This window comes from Homo sapiens, chromosome X (genome assembly GCF_000001405.40).
Source record: "Homo sapiens chromosome X, GRCh38.p14 Primary Assembly".
Lineage (NCBI taxonomy): Eukaryota > Metazoa > Chordata > Mammalia > Primates > Hominidae > Homo > Homo sapiens.
This window is the reverse complement of record NC_000023.11, coordinates 87,493,836-87,519,913: the sequence shown is the minus strand read 5'-3', so window position 1 is coordinate 87,519,913 and position 26,078 is coordinate 87,493,836. Positions and strand designations below refer to the sequence as shown.

The window sequence follows — 26,078 nt, the reverse complement described above, 5'->3', positions numbered from 1 at the left end:
TTTCTAACATCTATTTTATTGTAAATATTCCCATACTAGAAAATTAATTCATGTATTCTCAAATAATTTTGTTCCAAAGTTACAGTTGGTAATTTAAATTTCCCTACAGCAGAGTTAAATTCATTTATTAATCTCCAAATTCAGCAGTTTTTTAAAAATTGTTCTTGGTGACGAGAACAAATTTGAAAGCCTGCTGAATTTAAAATTATGGACTCTATATTACTTTGAGAGTCTTATTTGTTGTACCAAATGCAACCTGCAATCCCTACAGTTATATAGCTTTTCCACGAGCAAGCACAAAATATTTAGGAAAATTTCACACATACGTGCTTTATTTCCTGAGAAGTTTATATGACAGACAATCTAACATTATTATTAATGTCATTTCACAAAGTCTTCTGCATGTTTATATTTCAACAAGACTGAGTTCCTATAAAGGCATCATTTTGCTGTAATGTTATTAGGCTGCTTCTTCTTCTGATAAACTGTTTTGAATTTATGAAAGCAAGACACTGTGAGGTTGTTTTATTGGGAAAACTTATATTAAGAAGCAAATCTGCCAGTCCTTCTTCTCTATTTTTAGGTAGAGACATAGTATGCCAGATATCCAGGTTTCCAAATAAATTAGCATGTTGAACTACTATATGATCTAAAATGCATAAAAACACTTATTTTTCTATAGTACTACTGAATATTAATTACATTGCCAATATTATCAACTGTGTCTAAAACACGTTGGGACTATAAAAATGTCTGATAGTGAAAAAGCAAAAAACAAAGAGATAAGGATACACTAGGTTAAGTTATAGTTGACAGTATTAGAGAACAGAATGTAATTTTCTTGCACTCAAACAATACCGGTGGGCATAAAAGTAAAGACAAAATCAAATGTTTTATGAACTATACCCAAACTACACTATATCGTCACTGTTTATTCAATTTTCATTTTATGTAAAAGCTGAAATGCTCCATTTCCCGCTTTAAGATCACATTGCTGTAAGTAGCATCTTATTACCTGCTTTATGTAGAATATTTTCATGCTTGCAAAAACTAGCTATGAAAGTAATACAACTTGAAATGAGTCTCCGAACGCCAAATATTCCATATTGTCACATAAAGATAACACAGTTTTAAGAGTCAATATCGCAACTATGTACTAAGGAAACAGATAAGGATGTGCTGATCAGTCACAGCTTTTATTTTGTTAAAGTTGGCCTAACTCACAATGTCAGAAAGAGTTCTCCGTGATTCATAACACTTGCACAAAGAATTGCATTTAAACATCTGAGCCACGGAGTGTATTTATAGAACATTAGTAATTACAATAAACATCTCTTAGAATTGAAACAGAATTCTTAATGAAAATAGGAGAAGTAAACTCATAACCCACCCCCCAAATTTCCGGTAATTATAAAGACGTATTCATTATTGCTGTTTTCTTTTATAAACTTAGAGGAGACGGTTTCTGAGAGACTCTGATTGGCTGAATACAAACTCAGAGATTATTATGACACTTTCTATTTAAACACTAAACATGAATTGTAGAGGATAAGTTAACTGAAGTTACGGCATTCAGTTATGCGACCAAAAACTCTTACCTTGCTGTAGAATCTTCTATATTGTCATCAGCCATCATCTCCAAATCTTGTGCGCGTTTCTCACAAGCTTCTTTGAATAAATTCTTCTCTGGAACTGATTTAGGAGTATCTTCATTTGCTTGAAAATGTACTATCAGATTATGTTGCTGCAAATTCTGAACGGCTCTCTGATGGGCAGGGGCCGGTCCTGGCACTGGTGCCAGTATATTGTGGTGGACAGGACTGTTGCTTTTCTTCAGTCCGTTTCTGTCCCGAGAGTGGCTCTTCAACCTGCCCTGAACCGGGGTCCCTCTATGCTCATATCCTTCCTGCTGAAGACAGCTTCCAGTGTTGGTGGAACCTTGAAAAGGATGACTAAACCACCTCCAGCGTAGCCTTAGGATCTGTTTCACATCAAACTCTTTCTTGCCAGACACTGACATCGTAGCAGGAGGAAAGACAAAAGCCTTCTCTCACAGAAAGGAAACGGAGCCTTTGTTATCTCTTGTTTTTCTGCCTCTTCTGTAGAACTAACAAAAGCACAAGTGCCGAGAGCAGTCTTTCTTGCTTTCTCTCCCCTCCCCCACTGCCTATGATACACTGTGAATACTTGTAGCCTTCTAGCAGAAGCAGAAGGCTGCAGCTAACAGTGTAGGTGGGAACCCATGCTGACAGGATGATGAGGTCAGACCTTAAACAAGTAAATCAGCTTACCACAGGAAAGCAGCCACCACAACACTCTCCAGCTGTTAGATTTGCAGGCTTGCAGCCCTCCTGCTTGGACTTGCAAATATCTAGCCCTGCTTCTTCAGTATCAAAGTACAGTAGCTGCAGCTGAAACCCAGGCAAGTGAGCCAAAGCGAAGTGTTTAAACTTATTTTCTTCTAGATTCCTTCTACTCACGCCTCCCCTGCTAGATTCATTTCTCAGTAGCCCACTTCTAAAAATGTGCCACTTTGTTCCATGATAATATGCGACAGAGGAATTCATTATAATCTATTTTGAGATTCCTTTTATGGAAACTTTGAAAATGGTTCATTAAGGGAAAGCATCAGTACCCTCATGCGGGTTCGTAATTAGTTTTTACAAAATTAATCTGAAAATGTGAAAGTCTCTATATGAATATTTACCTGAAAACTTGACAGATTTTAGAAACATGTAAGAAAGTATTGGTTACCCATGACCACTCACACAAACACGCCATTTGGGAATGTAGAAATGGTATTTTTAGTCTACATATGGAGGAAGAAAGCAGTGCTTTTCCAAGCTAGTTAGGTTAAAAGAGATGTCTTCTCTCAGTTACCACAGCTTGAAAATGAATAGTTCATTCTGGCTCCATGCCTGGATACAAACCTTCTTATCATGCCTTTTACTTTCACAGGCAGTGTTAAAGGTTTATTTTCTTTGTTCAAAAACCCTTATGAGAGGATGAACAGAGTATGTTTTGAATTAATTCCAAATCATCACACTGTTCAGGAATAACTGTGCCCAAAGTACTTTGAGATCTGAATCATAATCACTACTTTGTACAGATGGACATGTTTACAAAAGACAGTCATGTATCAAGAATGCATTTATCATTGACATTTTGAAATTCAGTTTGTACTTTATCCAGTTCTCATATCATGCATACAGGTGATAAAGGGGAAATTATACTGGTGTATGACTAGAAAGAACACTGAAGTTGTAAGATTTTGCTTTTAGTTTGACTTTATGGTTAATGAACTGTGTGACCTTGGACAAGTCACTTTACTTTTTTGCATCTCAATTTCTTCATATATATTATACGGAGTCTAGACAGATTTCTATGTTTTCAAAAGCACTCAGATGTGATGGATTTAAAAACAACTGAAGAGAGAATAAAATGAATCTAAGTTTTGATAGGCATTTTATCTGTGGTTTTCTTTAAATTCAATTATACCTCTCCCTTTCCCCTCTTGTTTTTGTAGGTGTGATAGTTAATTTATGCATCAACCTGACTGAGCTATGGGATGCCCAGATATTTGGCTAGTCTCGATGTTTCTGTGAGGGTATTTTTTTTTTGGATGAGTTTAACATTTAAATTGATAGACTGAGTAAAGCATATTCTCCTCTCTAATTGGGTGGGGCTCATCCAATCAGTTGAAGGCCTAAATACAACAGAAGGCTGACCTTTCCCTCAATAAGAGAGAATTACTCTTGCCTCACTGCCTTCTATCTGGAACATGGGATTTCTTCCTGCCTTTAGACTTTAACTGAAACACTGCTTCTTCCTGGATTTCAAGTCTGCCAGCATTTGCGCTGGAAATACACCATTGGCTCTCCTCAGTCTCCAGCTTGCCAACTGCAGATCTTGGGACTTGTCAGGCTCCATAATCATGTCATCTAATTCCTTATAATAAATCTGTGTGTGTGTGTGGTGTGTGTGTGTGTGTGTACATATAGAGGAAACAAACTGTAAATATCAGGCAGAATAAATAAAATGTTGTAACAGAAATGTAAATAACATGTGGTAGGAGCAAGAAGTACTAAATTATCCATTTAAGTAACTCTAAATAATACTTTTTCATATATCAGGAGTCTATAACCTTATTTTTCTAACATGTTCTTTGAGCTTGTTATGATTTAGATATAATTGGGGATTTGCCTGTGTACCTTTTACCATAAGATGAAGATTAACTAATATCTGTCAGAATCTAACCTTTGATAGCACAATTTTCTGTAAGAATTTGCCAAGAATGTGCCAAGAATGTGCTTTTTAAGTGTATGCTGAATATGGTCATTTTCCTGGATCTTAAACAAGGAATCATAGAATGACTAAGAAAGTTTTAGGTCTCCTAGAAAAAAATAAAAAGAATAGTATTTTTATGAAACATGAAGATTCCTTTTACATTTCTGATTACAAAAGAAAGATTTAAGCATATTCAAACAAAAATGAGGAAAATGTCTGTAAGGATAGAAACTATGTCTTATTAATAATTTCCTTCCCTTTGCCTTATTATCTACTTTGCACCTGGTAATATTTAATCTATGTAGATTTAATGCATAACAAATTCTAAGTGGAATTCTTGTATTAGGGTTCCCTAGAGGAACAGAATAGGATATATATATATATATAATATATATATAATCAATTGTATATAATAATATACAAATGATATAATATATATAATAATATACATTATTTGTATATTATTATATATATAAGTTATATATATAATTAACTTCCATATACAGGAAGTTAATTAAGTATTGAACTAATAGGATATACACATTATATAATCAATTGTATATTTTAATATACAATATAATATATAATATATATAATACTATGTATAATTAATATATATTAATTGTATATTATTGTATATATTAGTTATATATATAATTAACTTCCATATATATGTGGAAGTTAATTATATACATATATGTGGACATTAATTTTATATATATATATATATATATATATATATGGAAGTTAATTAAGTATTAACTTACATGATCACAAGGTCCCACAATAGGCTGTCTGCAAGCTTGAGGAGCAAAGACAGCCAGTCCAAGTCTCAAAACTGAAGAACTTGGAGTCCGATGTTTGAGGGCAGGAAGCATCCAGCATGGGAAAAAGATGTAGGCTGTAAGACTAGGCCAGTCTCACCTTTTCACATTTTTCTGCCTGCTTTATATTCGCTGGCAGCTGATTAGATTGTGCCCACCAGACTAAGGGTGGGTCTGCCTTCCCCAGCCCACTGACTCAAATGTTAATCTCTTTTGGCAACATCCTCACAGACACACCCAGGATCAATACTTTGCATCCTTCGATCCAATCAAGTTGACACTCAGTATTAACCATCACAATGATTATCATATAAATTATTATCATATAAATTTACTTTATCAATGAATGCCAGAATTGTAAAATAAAAGAAAAATGCAAAATAGCTATGGGACTAAAGTGCCATCTAAATAATTACTGATTATACAGGTTGGGGAATAAGCCTACAAACCAGTTGAATATTTAGGGCAATGTAAAAGCCATGAGCTCTCTCGATATTGTATTTTAGCAAAACCTTGTGTAGCAAATTAAGTTAGTCAGCTACTAGGACACTATGGTAGTTAACATTATTGAAAATTACTTGGGAATACTTTGTTTTATTTCTTTCCCATAATTATCTGATTATACAACTGAAAGAAAAATTACATAGCCATAGACATCTGTGTATTAAAAGCTACACATCAACAACCTTTCATGTGCTTAACTGGAACTATTTCACTTGGCATGAGACACATTATCCAGCACTAAAATGGTCAAAATAAAAGTAATATCTAATTTTGAAAGGTTGTATGCTAAGCACACAACTTTAAAACAAGTCTGTCCTAAATCACTGCATCAAAAATCATTACAAAATTTTGAAATAGGTAAAAAACATTAATGTTGACTCATGGCTCAAATCACCCCAGCAAAAAGAGATCAAAGAATGGAATAACATTGCTATAATAAAACTCCTTCCATTTACATCCACTTATTTAGGTAAACAAACATTTTCAACACTCATGTCTGTAAAAACAAACAAAAATAAATTAACTGATGCTGACTCCTGTCTTATTCTTCCTCAATAAAAATTATATTTAGAGTCAAAAAATTTAAAAACTAAAATTTATGTATTTGTTGTAAAAATATGATAAGGTAATCAACAAAATACTTTCAAGTAAAAATGTGTTACGAAATAATTATCTTAGGAAACTTAAATGAAAATGTGGATTCGAGGAGAAAAGGAACTATTTGAAATTTCTGCTCCTAAAGAAAAAAATTTCATGTATTATTGAATTATAAAGGTATTAAATCACTACAATATATAGATTCCATTGAATATGTTTGAAAAAGTAATTTAAAAATTTATTTTGAAATACTAACGTTTAAAGTATGATAGAAAGTGCATTTTTTGACACTTTAAAATTATGATGTAATATTTCAAATGTGAGCTTCATATTGTATCAGACTCTACATAATTTTTCAAATTTTTTTGTAGAGGATGTGTGGAGCAAAATGTTTGAAGACAATTCCTGAAGGCTAACGCAAGTTTGAAAGATTATCACTTAATTTTAATCCCTTTTTTACTCCATTCCATAGTTAATTTGAGCATTCTGCAGTAGCATTTTACAAACCTTCCTCATTTATTCCTCCCTTCTTTCCTATGGAACATGACGGCTATCCCCTTTTCTATATTGAAACCATTCACTCTCGTGCAACTGTTCTCAAAGTTCAGTGAGCTATCACTTTATATTTTTTACTTATTAAATGGGCAGATTCTGATTAGCAGTTTTAAGGAAGGGTCCAGAAACCCATTTGTTCAATAATCACTTAGGGCACCCTTTGAAAGTGGCCCACAGACATTTTAAGAAATAGTGTTTTAAAGTAGCCAACATGTGGTCTTAGTTGAATAGAATTCTTTCTTCTAATTTTTAATTTCCTTGATTTTTTTTTTACTCATTCATTCATTAATCCATCCAACAAAGGCTTATTGAGTGCCTACTACGTGCTGGGCTCTGACGATGCAAATATGATTACACTGTTCTTGCCCACAAGAGCTTACCTTTTGTACTCTTGACCACCTCATCTTTCCTGGAACAGTCTTCTCTTGGTTCTTAATAATATGCACTCTTTTTCTCCTGTCTGTGCCTTGATATCCATCATTCTCTCCTCTTCACCTAGAAATATATATACGTCCAGATTTCAGGTTTCAGCCTTGTCTCACTGCTTTTACTTCTTTATTATTAACTATCATATAAAGTTTATTTACTCCCAAATTTCAGTGGTAATCTCTGTGTAGGTAATTTTAAAATCTTTCTTTTAAGCCATACTCTCATTAATATTTTAGTTCCAAATCTCTAGCATCCTACAAGATCTTACTTTATAAAGAAACCTTTATCTCTGTCTTTATGCTGTAGTAGCAATTTACAAGAAAAAAAATATATCAGTTATTCCACAAACTGATTACCTTCAGTTAAACTTTCTCTGTATTTCAATTAAACAGAACTGGTTTTAGTGTTCTAAGGATCAAGATTTTACCCTAAAAAGAGTTTTTAAAAATTATCTTGGCCCTCAGCAGTGTAAAGTTGATTGTAAATATAGACATGGTCACTGGCTTGAATTACACGAAGTTAAAAATATCTTTTAATGTTAGCCACCATAACTAAATACATTTTCTATAGAAAACCTAATCAATCAGCACATTAAAAAGCTAATCAACCACAATCAAGTAGGCTTCATTGCTGAGATGCAAGTTTGATTCAACATATGCGCCTGACCCCCCATCCCATCATGGGCAAGCATGCAATTCGTAAGGTTACTCTGGGGTCCCCTTGGCCAGGAAGTGGTCCGTTCAGTCAGTTGGGTGGATTTGAAATGATGAGCTGCATGAAACACTTATAGCTTACAGGTGAGATGCTTTAAGTAAAATTCTATTTGAAAAGAATGCCCTATGTTTATCATGGGATCTGGCTTCATGAACATTTCTGGAATAAACAACAATGTAAATTGGAAGCCACGTGGTTTTCTAGAGGGAAATCTTTGCACTGATCTTATTCTCAGTTTTCTTACTGACTTCTTGTGTGAGAAAAATTATAAAAAATCATCTTGTGCCTCAGGTTTTCGTTTTATAGAAAAGTACAGAACAATATGCCTTTCCTCTAGATTTCGAGATGTTGTGAAGAAAGGCAATTTAACATATAAGGTATGTATAGCCATCTAGAAGTAAGTAGGATAAAAATACAATTTATTATTGTTAAACTATTATTTAAGAGGATTTTATTGTTGGAAAGAGTACTTTGGATATGCGCTTATGTCTCATGGATTGTTCCAAAAAACCAAGAAAATCATAACATTCAATACTAAGTAAATTGTTAACTAATGGTATTTTAACTAGTGGGATCATTGGAAGGGTGGTTATGAGTTATAACAGCTAAAGACAGTTACAGTTCTCTCATCTAAAAAGGTGAATAAAGTGTTCTTCCTAGAGTTACTAGTTCCTATAAATGACATATTTATCGCTTCTAAGTAAGCTCATAAGCATGAATGCAAGTTCAGAAAGATCAAAACAAAGTAACAAGGCAATGTAGAAAAGTACACTATTTGTACTGTCCAAGGAGAAAAAAATGCTAGTCTCTTACAGTCCAAAATATGAGAAAAGTACCTTTTGTTCCTGCTTTTTCAAACTGCAATCAGTGCTTAGATAATTTTATATTAGAAAACAAAGTTTTACAAAAAATTGTATCAAACTTTGTTTTGTGTTAACTTTATTCTCACAAAACTGCTCTCTCTCTCTCTGTATACACACACACACTCACACACAGCTTTTGGTATAGAAAATTTGCACTATTTGCAAATTCTTTGCAAAAAATATGTTACATTTAGCCAACAAACCATGTGTAAATGGGTAACGAATGTTGACAGAAAATCCACAGAAGAGAAAAGCTGATTGTCCAATAAACATGTGAAAACATGCTCAGAATCACACATAATGAAATAATGCAAATGAAATTAACAAATATAATTTTATATTCATCAAGCTGGCACAAATTAAAGTATCTTAAGATATTGATATTGGCTAGGATGTAAAGTTATGGAGCAGAAATTTACTCTCACTGAAAGTGGGAGTTTACATCAATAAATAATTTTGGCAACATCTAATAAAGTTGCAGATGTATATACCCAATGGTCGAGATTTCCACTCCTAAATATAAGACCATGAAAAACTCACATAGACACATGAGAAGACATGTACAAAATATTAGTTTTAGAACTGTTTGTAGTAAAATGAAACCAGAACAAAAAACAGATTTTTATCAATATGAGAATAGAAAAACAGGTTTTGATATAATTCTACAATAAAATACTACTCAAAAATAAAAATAAATGAACTAGAAATAAATCAACATGAATCTAAATATAAAAATCATAACACTAAGTAGACTAATTTGTTTAGTCACAAGAGAGTGTGTACAAAAAGAATACTATGGAAGGTATTATCCTTTATGATAGCCTCGTGTATGTGGTACACATACACTGAGAAAGAGTTAAAACTGAGAAAGAGAAGAAGGCTGCACAGTGAGATATGAGGGTAAAATGTTAAGATTTGCTGCATAGCAACATTAAGCAACACAAATTGATACATATGAGTATATATGTGTATACATGTACATATTTAGTAAATATTTGTGTCTATATATAATTAATATATATATTTAAGACATTCATATTTAGAATATACATATTTGAAGTATATATTTATTTAGGAGTTATATATATATATATAATATATCTATATATATACACACACAAGTATTTGATACACAAATTTAATGAAATTCTCATCAACTCCTGCAAAAATTTTTGTATACATAGACAAGCTTCTTCTGTAATTTATAAGGAAAGGCATAGGCCCTAAAATACCTAAAACAATCTTGAAAAATGAGAATACGGTTGGAGAAATCTACCTGATACCTATTAGTAAGGCCTTTTATATAACTAGATTAATCAAGACTGTGTAATGTTAGCATAGAGAGAGATAAATAGATCAATGAAACAAAATAGAGAACCCAAAAGTAGGCCCACATGTACATGCTTGAATGATATTTGACAAAGTTGCAAAAGCAGTTTAATAGAAAAGAGATAGTCCTTTCAACAAATAGTACCAGAGCAAATGTACATCTATAGCCAGAAAAATGAACGTTGACTTAAATCTCACACTTTATACACACAGTAACTCAGAATGGATCACAGACTTAAATATAAAATGCAGAAAAATGAGTATTAGAAATAACAGAAAATCTTAGAAATAACAGAATGTCTACAATAACAGAAAGTCTACAAACAAATAGAATAGAATAACAGGTTTTGTTAATAACAGTCTACAAACAAAGTGTTTTTAGACTTGACATCAAAAGCACGATCCATCAAATGAAAATTTGATGAATTGGACTTGGTCAAAATTTAAAACTTTGCTTGGGTAAAAGAATCTATAAAACGGATGAAAGGACAAGCTAAAGTCAGAATATTTGCAAACCACATATCCAAGGAAAGACTAAGATCTAGACTATTTAGAGAACTCAACAATATTAAACTAAACAATCCAATTAAAAATGCACAAAGGACACCAAGAGACATTTTACCAAAATTAATTTTAAAATGTCAAGTAAGCATGTGAAAAGATGTTCCGCATCAGTAGCCACTGAACAAAAACAAATTTCAATCACAATGAGATGACTACACACTTATCAAAATGGCTTCAATAAGAAATAGTAACAACACAAAGTGTTGAAGATAATGTCGTAAAAGCAGATCACCCATATCTGGTGACAATGTAAAATGGTATTAGCCATTCTGGAAACCAGTTTGATAGTTTTTTTGTTTGTTTTCTGTTTTTTGCCCTAGGATGGAGTCTTCCTCTGTCACCCAGGCTGGAGTGGAGTGGTATAATCTCGGCTCACTGCAACCTCTGCCTCCTGGGTTTAAGCGATTCTCCTGCCTCGGCCCCCTCCGAGTAGCTGGGATTACAGGCATGCACCACCACACCCAGCTAATTTTTGTATTTTTAGTAGAGACAGGGTTTCACCATGGTGGCCAGCCTGGTCTTGAACTGGCTCGTCTTGAACTCCTGACCTAGTGATCTGCCCGCCTTGGCCTCCCAAAGTGGTAGGATTACAGGCATGAGCCACCGCGCCTGGCTGACAGTTTCTTATAAAACTAAATATGTGACCACCATATTACCTGGCACTGAACTTTGCATTTTTTCCACATAAATTAAAACTTATTTTAATACAAAAACCTATACATAAATATTCCTAGCAGCTTTATTTTTAATTGCCAAAAAGTAGAAACAACACAGATATACTTCAACAGGAGAGTGGTTAAACAAACTGTCATATATCCATACCATGTATTATCACTCAGCAATAAAAATAATGAACTATTGATACACAGAACAACTTGGGTGAACCTCAAAGAAATTGTGCTGAGAGAAAAAGAACATTTCCAATAGGTTACATATTACATGATTCTTTCTATATAGCATTACTGAAAAGACAAAATTCATGTATTTTACCCATTTTTAATGGGGTTGTCTTCTGCTTTTTAAGTTCCCTGTAGATTCTAGATAATAGGTCTTTGTGAGATGCATTTTAATGAATATGTTCTCCCAAAAGTTGAAATTTAAAAAAAAATACAAAATTATACAAATGGTCGAGCGTGGTGGCTTATGCCTGTAACCCTCAGCAATTTGGGAGGCCAAGGAGGGTGGATCTCTTGAGGTCAGGAGTTCAAGACCAGACTGGACAACATGGTGAAAACCTGTCTCTACGAAAAGCACAAAAATTAGCTTGGTGTGGTGGTGCACACCTGTAATCTCAGCTACTCAGGAGGCTGAGACAGGAGAATTGCCTGAAACCAGGAGGCAGAGGTTGCAGTGAGATGAGATCATGCCACTGCACTTCAGCCTGGGTGACAGAGAGCAGGACTCCATCTCTCCCTCTCTCTTTCTCTCTCTCTCTGTGTATATATATATATGCATATATACACACACACATATATATACGCATACACACACACACACACACACACACACACAGAGAGAGAGAGAGAGAGAGTGCAGATTAGTGGTTTCCAGAAGTTAGGAATAAGAGTGGGGTGTATTTGGATGTAATAGGGGTTCCATTGGGTTAGAAACTGCTCTGTGTTTTGTCTGCATCCATGCCATCATCTTAGTTGCAATATGTATTATAGTTTTGCAAGGTATCAGAAAACTGGATAAATGATACGAAAGATCTCTCTGTATTATTTATTACAACTGCATGCAAATAAACAAAATAAAATGTTTAATTCACAAAATTCACGATATATCACTATTGTGTAGAACAACCATTAAGTTTTGTTTGAACAGGTAAATCACTTAGGAAATACAACTCAACTAAACATTGCAGTAATCTTTTTTTTGCAAAGTATCTATAAACTGAATTATATATATATACTGCTGAATTGTTCTACTAGCTGGCTTAAATGCGATGAAGGAGAATCTTGAGAGAATATTGCTAAGTTTTATTGAAAAATCATCATTTTGGATCAGTTATATATTGTACTTTATGTTGTTAGACTGTCAGCTCTCGTGTTGGAAGCATGACCTGTACTCAAGGGCTAGGCAGACAGAAGTATTACTGGAGAAAGCAGGCAGTACCCAGATTTATTTCACATTTAATAATAATAGGTTCATTTTTTGAAATCTGACTCTATGAACAGCACTAAAACACTATACAAGAATTACATCATTTGGTCTATGGGGTGATCCTACTTCTAATAATAGTGGACTAGCTCCTATTGAACCAATACTTCTGTAGATAATAACTGTAAACCCTGGACAAAATATTATAAAAAGTACTTGAAGTCACTGAAGAGTGAAAAAAAGCAGGAAAATACTGGAGAAGACTTTATACATGGAAGGTGGGAATGGCAACATCATTGAGTGATTTTTTTTGATGGCTTTGAGCTTGAGGACAGGACATATTACATATACATGAACCAGCTACTACTTGGATATAAGCCTGTAGTTTTATTGTCTTGAAGAATTGGAGAATAGGGTTCAGGTTAACCACATAAGATGCACAAGAAATTAGAAAATTCCAGCAATAGAGGCACAAAGATGGTTTCATTAATTTTTAACATGAATTCAACTCTACCCAAAGTTTTGGCTTAACTATGTATGTATGGTGTTGGTTTTAGCAGCTTAGCTATGACTGAAGGAATTGAACAAAGACTTAAGCTGCATACCACTGAAAGTGAGGCAGTTTAAAGCTTGATTTCAAACAATATAACTGACTACTAAAACACACGGGGAAAATCAATACTCTTTGAAAAATGATAACGCAATCCAAAATCTATGCAGATGTATAATCAAAATGTCCAAGATAAATTTCAATTTCTAGACATGTAAAAATGTGACTTAAGAGAAAAGGCAACCCATGAGTATTAACCCCGACATATACCAACCAGATATTCGAATTAGCAGATAAGAATTTTAAAGCCAGTATTGTAACTATGTTCAAAGATGTAAAGAAATATGGGAGAGGCCGGGCGCGGTGGCTCACGCTTGTAATCCCAGCACTTTGGGAGGCCGAGGCGGGCGGATCACGAGGTCAGGAGATCGAGACCATCCTGGCTAACACGGTGAAACCCCGTCTCTACTAAAAATACAAAAAAATTAGCCGGGCGTGATGGCGGGCGCTTGTAGTCCCAGCTACTCGGGAGGCTGAGGCAGGAGAATGGCGTGAACCCGGGAGGCGGAGCTTGCAGTGAGCCGAGATTGCGCCACTGCACTCCCGCCTGGGCCACAGAGCGAGACTTCGTCTCAAAAAAAAAAAAAAAAAAAAAAAAGAAATATGGGAGATATCAGCAGAGAAATAAGTCATTAAAAAGAACCTAATGGAAAGTCTAGAGCTGAAAAAAATACAATATCTGAAATAAAAAAAAATTCCCTGGATGGGCTTAGCAATAGAAAGGGATCACAGAAGAAAGAGTTAGAAAATCTGAAGATAGAGACTGATAAATTATCCAATCTGAATAACAGAGAGAAAAAGAATTTAAAAAAAAACAACATTGATCTGTGTGACAATATGAAAATGTCTAATATATGTGTAATTTTAAATCTCAGAATGATAAATGATAATTAGTGGGTCAACAAAAATATTTGAAGAAAAAATAGCCAAAAAATTCTTTAATTTGATGAAAGACTTAAAATTACAAATTCAAGAATCTTAGCAAAACCTAAGCAGAATACATACAATGGCAATCACAATTTGGCATATCGTAATTAAATTGCTGAAAACAGATGTGTGTGTGTGTATGTGTGTGTGTATGCGCGTGTGTGTGAGAGAGAGAGAGACAGAAATTTTGACCAGTGAGTTTATACTAGGAAATAAATGGAAAACTGAATATTTTGTATACTGAATGAGAAAAAAAATTCAACACAGAAGCCTGTATCCAGAGAAAATATCCTATCAGAATGAAGAGTAAATACATACATTTCCAGACAAACAAAAACAAAGATAATTAATCACCAATAGAACTGTACTATTAGTATAAATGCCAAAGGATGTTTTCAGGCTAAAGGAAAATGGTACCAGATAGGAAATGAAATCTTCAAGAAGGAATGAAGTGTACTTGAAATGGTACATGTGTATGTCAATGTAAATTTAAATATAAAGTTAATATTTTAAAAATACATATGGCTGGTTAAAGCAAAAATACGTATGATATTCTATTGTGGGATTTATAAGGTGTGTGGTGGTAATACATGTGACAAATATAAATGATGAGATTGGTAAATTGATGTAGATAGTTGCAAGATTCTTACAATTTACTAGAAGTGACAATATTAACACTAACTAGGTGGTAAAAATGTAAGGGTGTATTTTCTAATACCAAGAGATACCACTAACAAAATAACGAAAAGAATATATAATTAATTAAAAAGCTAATAGATGTATTTAATTTCAAAAAAGTTCAATTGATCTCAAAGAAGGGAAGAATGCAACAGAAGAAAAAAATAGAAAAAACAAATAAACAAATGATAAAAAATAATAGGTCTAAATTCAACCATATAAAAATTTCTTTAAAATAAACATACTATATCGTGTATATGTGCCACATTTTCTTAATCCAGTCTATCATTGTTGGACATTTGGGTTGGTTCCAAGTCTTTGCTATTGTGAATAGTGCTGCAATAAACATACGTGTGCATGTGTCTTTATAGCAGCATGATTTATAGTCCTTTGGGTATATACCCAGTAATGGGATGGCTGGGTCAAATGGTATTTCTAGTTCTAGATCCCTGAGGAATCGCCACACTGACTTCCACAATGGGGAAAGGGAACATCACACTCTGGGGACTGTTGTGGAGTCGGGGGAGGGGGGAGGGATAGCACTGGGAGATATACCTAATGCTAGATGACGAGTTAGTGGGTGCAGCACACCAGCATGGCACATGTATACGTATGTAACTAACCTGCACAATGTGCACATGTACCTTAAAACTTAAAGTATGATAATAAAAAAATAAATTAAAAAAAAATAAAAATAAAAAATAAACATACTATATCATCTAACTAAAATAAATCTTTGAAGTTAGTGTTTCTTTTGTTTTCTTTTTACAGGTGAAAAAAATTAATCTATAGAGAGGATAATCACACAAGGTTATACAAGTGGTTCATAGAAGTGGTAAGTAGAAGAGCCAGAATTTAAACCCAGCCAGAGTCCATGTTTTTAAATCTCAAAATTATATCACTTAATATTTACTTGGGTCTGACTCACCATAAATTAATGTATACACACAAACACACACATATATATATATATAAAACTTGTGAGATAATAGTTCGAAACACAAACCTCATTAAGTCATTGTCATGATAATAGTGAAACAGAACACACACAAAACAATGAGAGAAAGACAAAAGACAGAATGCAAATATGTATTGAGTAGTACAGTGCAGTCTAGAAGTGGAAAAGGAGATGTACTTCCCTTAAAAAAGACGTCAGTGGGGATTGAAGTGTTCTGGTACACCTATGTGGAAAAGGCAAAACTGGGCATTGGAGGACAAAGGAATTCTAAATAGATGAAGAAGTTACCTTCAAGCTAAGAGAATAGCATGTGCAAGCACATTTAAATGAAGGCACTATCTTGTGGAGGACAGTGATAATATTAGTCTATTTGGCCTTATATCATATGCATGGGCAAGTCAATAAGACAGCTAAGTATTTGTAAGTGCTTGGATAACTATACACAAATAATTAATCTATCAATGTTCCAGTAGAAGAACCTATCTTATAGTGTGGCCAAGGGCTTTCTTTTGTCCTGTCTTGTTTTATAGTTTTTGAGAATGACTGGATTGGGAGCCATGATGACCACACACATATGCATTGAAGCTGAGAGGATGGTCAAACACATTGTTTAACCTGTTTAATGTGAAAAATTCTCTTATTTCACTGGAAAAAAATGGTCAAATCTATCAAGAAGACATTTAATATATACTTCTAATTGAACAAGTACAAAATATAGTGAGATGTTTTATAAAAGTTAGTATTAAAATTACTTCTGGATTGTATTATACGTTCATTCCTTCAGTTTCAGTTTCCTCATCTCCGAACACAGCTGACTGGATTAAATTATTTCAGTACTTCTTTGCAATTCTAAATTTCTATGGTTCTTTGCATCACAGTTGAATGCAACTGCAAAATTAGCCTATGTGATCTTGAGTGAATTAATAGGAATTTGAAGAACAGAGAATCTAGTCTGTGCTAGTCTGTGCACCACACTTGGGCACATTTCTAAGAACATGACAGACTGGAGTTTGTCCAGAGGCAAAGGATTCCTTGGTAAAGAAATAGAAACAATGATAACTGAAATATCAGAGGTTATTTATCATCATCCTTCAAAGCTTTTTCATTGCACCTAGGATAATTATTTTAAGAATTACTATGGTCTGCAGAGTTCTATGTGATGTGGCTCATACATTTCAGAACCAAACATAGAAATGTATCCATAGTGCAACTCAAACAGCAAGGAACCATTCAAAATAATCTTTTTATCTTTCATAGGAATATCATTAAAGACAGAAATTTTGATATTGATTTTAATAATCTTCAGAAAAGGCAAGTAATATGCACCCTCAGATCTCCCACTTGAAAACAGCCCACCTACTCTTTACCATCACCTTGGTTGACTCAGCCTTTAACTCACTGAATTTCAGCCAACCTGCTTTCAATCCACTAAATAAACGAAATTCTTTTTTGCCTTATAGTTTTCAAATATTTGATTTCTTCTTCTTGGAAAATTCTATTGCCAATTTTTCACTTGGCTAAATATTACATATTCTTCAGGTTTCAGCTTAAAATCACTTCCTCAAAGAAGCCTTCTAAAATATGCCATAGAAAAGAGGCCACCTGTTTTCTAATGAATCACCTAATTCTCTATTCTTACGCTTTAAGATTTTTTCATAGCACTCATCATGAGGTATAATTGCATAATTGTTTGAACGCTCTTTGAGATGAGAATTTTTTTTTGACAGAGTGTAATCTGAAATCCTTTATTTTTGGTTTACTAGCACAACTTAAATGGTTTTCAGTCCTGAGGCAGACCTCATACAGAGTAAAAAAAAATAAAATAGGAAATTAGAAAGCTAATTGTTTTGTACAGTGAATTGAAGAAGGTTCTAAATTCCTAGGGAGAGCCTGAGAGAATGGAAATTAGGTGCCGGAAAAATGGAGAGAAGAGATGATATGAAAAACGAGATCAGGTAGATAAAAACATAGGGTGCGACTCAATACTGAAAGAAATGGGAAATGAAAAATCTCTGGTGGTGGCAAAGGCCAAGGGATTTTAAGAATAAAGATGTCTAATGTTCTAAGTTGTTTGCTGGGCTGTAAATGAATTCCCTGAGAAACACTAGGTATACCAGTTTATTAGGGCTGCCATAACAAAATACCACAGACTGGGTGGCTTAAACAATATAATTTATTTTCTCACAGTTCTGGATGCTGGAAGTCCAAGATAAAGTTGTCAGCTGGGTTGTTTTCTCCCCAGATCTCTCCTGGGCTTGCAGATACCTGCCCTTTTGCTGTGTTGTCTCCTAACATTTTTCTGTGCACTGGCCTCCCTGGTATCTTTCTTTGTGTGCAAATAAAGACCATTCAGATTGTATTAGAGCCCATCCTAATGGCTTCCTTTAACTTAATCACCTTTTTTTAAAATTATTATACTTTAAGTTTTAGGGTACATGTGCACATTGTGCAGGTTAGTTACATATGTATATATGTGCAATGCTGGTGCGCTGCACCCACTAACTCGTCATCTAGCATTAGGTATATCTCCCAATGCTATCCCTCCCCTCTCCCCCCACCCCACAACAGTCCCCAGAGTGTGATATTCCCCTTCCTGTGTCCCTGTGATCTCATTGTTCAATTCCCACCTATGAGTGAGAATATGCGGTGTCTGGTTTTTTGTTCTTGCGATAGTTTACTGAGAATGATGATTTCCAATTTCACCCATATCCCTACAAAGGACATGAACTCATCATTTTTTATGGCTGCATAGTATTCCATGGTGTATATGTGCCACATTTTCTTAATCCAGTCTATCATTGTTGGACATTTGGGTTGGTTCCAAGTCTTTGCTATCGTGAATAATGCCGCAATAAACATACGTGTGCATGTGTCTTTATAGCAGCATGATTTATAGTCCTTTGGGTATATACCCAGTAATGGGATGCCTGGGTCAAATGGTACTTCCAGTTCTAGATCCCTGAGGAATCGCCACACTGACTTCCACAATGGTTGAACTATTTTACAGTCCCACCAACAGTGTAAAAGTGTTCCTATTTCTCCACATCCTCTCCAGCACCTGTTGTTTCCTGACTTTTTAATGATCACCATTCTAACTGGTGTGAGATGGTATCTCATTGTGGTTTTGATTTGCATTTCTCTGATGGCCAGTGATGGTGAGCAATTTTTCATGTGTTTTTTAGCTGCATAAATGTCTTCTTTTGAGAAGTGTCTGTTCATGTCCTTCACCCACTTTTTGATGGGGTTGTTTGTTTTTTTCTTGTAAATTTGTTTGAGTTCATTGTAGATTCTGGATATTAGCCTTTTGTCAGATGAGCAGGTTGTGAAAATTTTCTCCCATTCTGTAGGTTGCCTGTTCACTCTGATGGTAGTTTCTTTTGCTGTGCAGCAGCTCTTTAGTTTAATTAGATTCCATTTGTCAATTTTGTCTTTTGTTGCCATTGCTTTTGGTGTTTTAGACATGAAGTCCATGTTCAACATAGTGTTGGAAGTTCTGGCCAGGGCAATTAGGCAGGAGAAGGAAATAAAGGGCATTCAATTAGGAAAAGAGGAAGTCAAATTGTCCCTGTTTGCAGACGACATGATTGTATATCTGGAAAACCCCATTGTCTCAGCCCAAAATCTACTTAAGCTGATAAGCAACTTCAGCAAAGTCTCAGGATACAAAATCAATGTACAAAAATCACAAGCATTCTTATACACCAACAACGGACAAACAGACAGCCAAATCATGAGTGAACTCCCATTCACAATTGCTTCAAAGAGAATAAAATACCTAGGAATCCAACTTACAAGGGATGTCAAGGACCTCTTCAAGGAGAACTACAAACCACTGCTCAAGGAAATAAAAGAGGATACAAACAAATGGAAGAACATTCCGTGCTCATGGGTAGGAAGAATCAATATCGTGAAAATGGCCATACTGCCCAAGGTAATTTACAGATTCAATGCCATCCCCATCAAGCTACCAATGACTTTCTTCACAGAATTGGAAAAAACTACTTTAAAGTTCATATGGAACCAAAAAAGAGCCCGCATCGCCAAGTCAATCCTAAGCCAAAAGAACAAAGCTGGAGGCATCACATTACCTGACTTCAAACTATACTACAAGGCTACAGTAACCAAAACAGCATGGTACTGGTACCAAAACAGAGATATAGATCAATGGAACAGAACAGAGCCCTCAGAAATAACGCCACATATCTACAACTATCTGATCTTTGACAAACCTGAGAAAAACAAGCAATGGGGAAAGGATTCCCTATTTAATAAATGGTGCTGGGAAAACTGGCTAGCCATATGTAGAAAGCTGAAACTGGATCCCTTCCTTACACCTTATACAAAATTAATTCAAGATGGATTAAAGACTTAAACGTTAGACCTAAAACCATAAAAACCCTAGAAGAAAACCTAGGCATTACCATTCGGAACTTAATCACCTTTTTAAAGGCCTATCTTCAAATACAGTCACATTCTGAGGTACCGAGGAGAATCAGGGCTTTAACATATTAAATTGTTGTGGAGGGGCACAATTAAGCCCATAACACTGGCACAGAAGGTAAATGATTTGGTGTCTCATACCAAACAGAATTAGGACAAGAGTAACTGAATTTAAATAGCTAGAAAAAAGATAATCTCATAAAACAGACTTTGGTGTTATTCATTTAAGTGGCACTTTTGTTTCACTAGGTATTCTCACTTGTAAACATTTACAAAAGCTTAGTCACATAGTATAACTTTCTTTAATCTCAATCTTATTCTCATTTAACCAGTTTTGGCCTATTTCTGATCATGAATTTTATAAACTTGATTCCTATAAAATTACTTCAATTAAAAGAGCAAACATAAGAAAGAGGTCAACATATGAAAAAAAAATAACTCAAGATGGATTAAAAGCTTAAATGTAAGTCCTGAAACTATAAAAATTCTAAAAGAAAACCTAGGAAATACAATTCTGGACATCAGCTTTGGTAAATAATTTATGATTAAATCTCCAAAAGCATTTGCAACTAAAACAAAAATTGACAAATTAAACATAATTAAATTGAAAAGCTTTTGCATAGCAAATGAAACTATCAACAAAGAAAACAGACAACCTACAGACTGGGAGAAAATATTTGCAAATCATGCAGCCAACAGATTAGTAATATTTAGAATCTCTAAGGAACTTAATTCAACAAGCAAAAAAAAAAAAAACTCATTAAAAATAGGTGAAGAGCATGAACAGATGCTTCTCCAAAGAAAACATACATGCTGCAAACAAATACATTTAAAAAATGCTCAACATTACTAATCATTAGAGAAATGCAAATCAAAACCAAAATGAGATACTGTTTCACACCAGTCAGAATGGCTATTATTAAAAAGTCAAAAATAACAGATGCTGGTGAGGTTGCAGAGAAAAAGGAATGCTTATACACTGTTGGTGGGAGTGCAAATTCATTCAACCATTGTGGAAAGCAGTGTGGTAGATCCTCAAAGAGCTAAAACAGAACTGTCATTTGATCCAGCAATCTCATTATTGGGAATATACCTGCATTAGTCTGTTCTTTCACCGCTATAGAGAACTACCTGAGACTGGGTAATTTATGAAGAAAAGAGATTTAATTGACTCACACTTCTGCAGATTGTACGGGAAGCATGGCTAGAGGACTCAGGAAACTTACAATCATGGAAGAAGGGCGAAGGGGAAGCAAGCAACTTCTTCACATGGTGACAAGAGAGAGAAAGCGAAGGGTGAAGCTTTACACACATTCAAACAACCAGATCTCATGAAAACCCTATCATGAGAACATCAAGAGGGAAGTCTGCCCCCGTGATTCAATCACCTTTCACGAGGCCCATTCCCCAACACATAGGAATTATAATTTGACATGAAATTTGGGTGGGGACACAGAGCCAAACCATATCAATATCCAAAGGAAAAGAAACTGTTCCACCAAAAAGGTAAATGCACTTGTATGTTCATCACAGCTTTATTCACAATAGCAAAGACATGAAATCAGCCTGGATTCCCATCAACGGTGAACTGGATAAAGACATGTGGTATATAAACATAACGGAATACTACACAGCCATAAAAAGGAACAAAATTATGCCCTTGTAGCAACATGATTGCATGATTGCAGCTGGAGGCCATTATCCTAAGTTTATTAATTCAGGACTAGAAAACCAAATACCACATATTCTCACTTATAAGTGGCAGTGAAATATTGGGTACACACATGGACATAGAGATGGGAACAGTAGATGCCGGGAACTACTAGAGAAGGGAGTGCTTGCAGGGAGAGTTGAAACACTACCTATTGGGTACTATACTCACTACCTGTGGGGCAGAATCATTCATACACCAAATCTCAGTTACATGCAATTTACCCATGTAAAAAACCTGCACTTGTTTCCCCTGAAACTAAAATAAAGTTGAACAAAAAGAGGTCAAGTAATACAGTTGTGTTTATAACTCAAAAATTACTTATCATAAGTATTAAAAATGTAAACATATAAAATGTTTTATAGGTAAGTTGAGGAAAAACAAGAAAAAAAAAGAAAGTGAAAACAAAATTGTGGCACATTACCAGAGGAGTATTGAATCTTATTTTTAGGATCACATTTTAAAAATCACTAAAATTCTTCATGAATCACCAAGGAGCTTATAAAAATTAGACTTATGTAGTGAATAAAGTTGATTCTTTTAGAAAATGAGATCACTTTCTTCTTTGATAGTGACTATACGAAAATCACATAGTTTATAGAGATTTCTAAAGCTTTGAAATGTATTTTTTTCTTAAGCTTTACTCTCTAAAGCCATATTTCTCTTTCCAGTAATTTAAAATTTGTCATAATTCAAATAATCTTTACTGAGTTTATGTATATAAATGTCAAAGAATACCCAGAAAATTTTATTATTCATATCTATTCTTGGCACTACTCACTAGTTGATTATGGTGCTTTTCATTAATCTTTATAAAGTATAATATGATTCTCACAACTTTTCAAAACACTCTATTGCTCATATACATCTAAGAAATTATAAGATTCATGGCGTACTCTTCTTAGGCTGCTATGACAAAATATCACAGACTTACTGGATTAAACAACAGATATTTATTTCTGACAGTTCTGGAGTTTGAGAAATCCATAATCGAGGTGCCACCACAGCCGGGTTCTTGGTGATCTGTCTTTTCCTGGATGGCAGAGGGCTGCCTTCTTGCTATGTCTTCACATGGCAGAGGCAGAGAGACAGACAGACAGCTTTGGTTTCTTTATCACCTTACAAGGACACTAATCACATATTATGGGCTCTATCCTCAGGACCTCATCTAAAAACCACGCAGAAAACCCACTTCATAATACTATTACATTTGGAGTTGGGGATTCAACATGATAATTTTGAAGGAAGACAAACATTCATCCTCTAATCATTTGTGTAATTGTAGTTCTTTTGGTCACAAAAAAAGTTTCATTGCTTATTAGTGTACACCCATACCTCAGAAATACTACACCTCTGGTTCTTAATCACTGTAACAAAGTAAATATTCCAACAAAGCAAGCCACGCAATTTTTTATGGTTTCCCATTGCATATAAAAATTATGTTTACACTATACTGTAGTATATTTTTATACAGTTATGTTTAAACTGTACACTATAGTGTGCAGTAGCATTATATCTAAAACAATGTAAATACCTCAACTAAAAGTATTTTATTGTTAAAAATGCTGATGATCATTGCAGCCTTCAGTGAATTGTAATCATTTTGCTTGTGGAGAGTCTTGCCTCAATGTTGATAGTGGCTGAATGATCAGAGCAGTGGTTCTAAAGGTTGGGGTGGCTGTGACAATTTTCTTAAAATAAGACAATAAGGAAATTTGCCACGTCGATTGACTCTTCTTTTCATGAAAGATTTCTCAGTAGCATGTGATATTTGATAGTATTTTACCCACAATAAAGTTTATTTCAAAATTGGAATAAATCCTCTCAAACTGTTGCTGCTTCATCAACTAAGTTTGCGTGATATTCTCAATCCTTTGTTGTCATTTCAACAATGTTCACAGCAACTTCAACAGCTGTAGATTCCATCCCAAAAAACCAAATTGTATGCTCATCACTAAGAAGCATCTCCTTCTACATTCAATTTCATCGTGAGATTGCCGCAAGTCAGTCACATTTTCAGGCTCCTCTTCTAATTCTAGTTTTCTTGTTATTTGCACCACATCTGCAGTGACTTCCTCCACTGAGATCTTGAAGTCATCCATGAGGGTTGAAATCAACTTCCACCAAACTCATGTTAATGTTGATATTTTGACCTCCTCTCATGAATCATGAATGTGCTTAATGGCATCTAGAATGGTGAATGCTTTCCAGAAGGCTTTCTATTTACTTTGCCCAGATCCATCAGAGGAGTCACTATCTGTGGCAGCTATAGCCTTACAAAATGTATTTTTCAACTTTTAAGTTCATGGGTACATGTGCATGTTTGAGTAACTAATAGGTACTAGGTTTAATACCTACGTGATGAAATAATCTGTACAACAAACCTCCATGACACAAGTTTACAAAATGTATTTCTCAAATAATAATACTCAAAAGTTCAAATTCTTCCTTTAACCAAGGGCTGTAGAATGGATGTTGTGTTAGCAGGTATGAAAATAACATTAATCCCCTTGTACTTCCCATCAGAGCTCTTGGTTGACCAGGTCCATTATTAATGAGCAGCAATATTTTGAAAGGAATATTGTTTCCAAAGAGTAGGGTTCAAAAATGGGCTTAAAAAATTCAGTAAACCATGATATAATAGATGTGTTGTTATTCAGGCTTCATTGTTCCATACATAGAGTACAAGCAGAGTAAATTAGCACATTTCTTAAGAGCCTTAAGATTTTCAGAAACATAAATGAGCATTGGCTTCAACTTCAAATCACCAAATGCTTTCGCCCCTAACAAGAGAGTCAGTATGTCTTTTGAAGCTTTCAGTCCAGGCACTGGCTTCTTCTCTCCAGCTACGAAAGTCCTAGTTGGCATCTTCTTCCAAAATAAGAGTGTTGCATCAACATGGAAAATCAGTTGTTTAGTGTAGCCAACTTTATCAATTACCTTAGGAAGATATTCTGGATAAGTTGCTGCAGTTTCTACATCAGCACATGCTGTTTCATCTTGCACTTTTATGTTGTGCAGACAACTTATTTTCTTAAACCTTATGCACCAAACTCTGCTAGATTTATACGTATCTTCTGCAGCTTTTTAACCTCTCCCAGACTTCACAGAATTGAAGAGAATTAGAACCTGGTTCTGGATTATGCTGTGGCTTAGAGAATCTTGTGGCTGGTATGAACATCTGTCCAGACCACTAAAACTTTCTCCAGATCAACAATAAGGCTGTTTCACTTTGTTATCATTCATGTGTTCATCAGATTAGCACTTTAAATTTCATTTAAGAACTTTTCATTTTCATTCACAATTTGGCTCTTTGGCACAATAGCCTAGCTTTTAGCCTATCTTGGTTTTGACATTCCCTCTTCATAAGTTTAATTACTTTTGGCTTCCGATTTAAAGTGAGAGACGTGTGACTCTTCTTGTAACTTGAATACTTAGAGACCACTGTAGGTTTCTTAATTTCCCAATTATGTCTCAGGGAATAGAGAAAGGAAAAGACAGCGAAATATCTGTTCTGTGGAACAGTCAGAACACCCAATACATTTATTAATTAACTTGTCCATCTTATATAGGTGAGGTTGTGCTCCCCACAAACAATTACAACAGTAATATCAAAGATCACTGATTACAGATCACCATAACAGCTCTAATAATAATGAAAAAGTTTGAAATATTGTGAAAGTGATCAAAATGTGAGATAGAGACATGAAGTGAGAAACACTGTTGAAAAAATGGTGCTGTTATATTGCTTGATGCAAGGTTGCCACAAACCCTCTAATTATAAAAAAAATACACTAACTATATAGCACAATAAAGTGAAGCACAATAAAATTAGGTGTGCCCATAAAATAATATAGTTCTGTATATAAGTGGAAGAGGACTTTTACTTATTATTTTATGCCCTTTTATGTTGATTGAAATTTTGAAATGTGCATGTATAACTTTAATAATAAAATATTATATATGTCATGACATATGCAGACAAGAT

General features: G+C 34.4%; 1 protein-coding gene across 3 annotated transcripts in view, besides 2 other annotated features; it reads right to left on the bottom strand.

The window, feature by feature from the left end:
- KLHL4 (kelch like family member 4) overlaps positions 1 to 2,112 on the bottom strand; it is a 152,249-nt gene extending 150,137 nt beyond the window's left edge. For all 3 annotated transcript variants that reach the window (XR_938403.3, NM_019117.5, NM_057162.3), the window contains exon 1: positions 1,599 to 2,112. Coding sequence is in view for 2 of the 3 variants with exons in the window: in NM_019117.5 (NP_061990.2) it covers positions 1,599 to 2,020 (422 nt within the window). In the remaining variant the exon portion in view is untranslated. The remainder of the gene's footprint in view (positions 1 to 1,598) is intronic.
- Positions 1,381 to 2,156: an enhancer, noted in NCBI's record as "OCT4-NANOG-H3K27ac hESC enhancer chrX:86772761-86773536 (GRCh37/hg19 assembly coordinates)". NCBI's record gives its function as "activates a minimal SCP1, AML or CMV promoter by ChIP-STARR-seq in naive H9 embryonic stem cells {active_cell/tissue: H9 hESC(naive)}" and the evidence as "EXISTENCE:reporter gene assay evidence [ECO:0000049][PMID:30033119]".
- Positions 2,157 to 2,932: an enhancer, noted in NCBI's record as "OCT4-NANOG-H3K27ac hESC enhancer chrX:86771985-86772760 (GRCh37/hg19 assembly coordinates)". NCBI's record gives its function as "activates a minimal SCP1, AML or CMV promoter by ChIP-STARR-seq in naive H9 embryonic stem cells {active_cell/tissue: H9 hESC(naive)}" and the evidence as "EXISTENCE:reporter gene assay evidence [ECO:0000049][PMID:30033119]".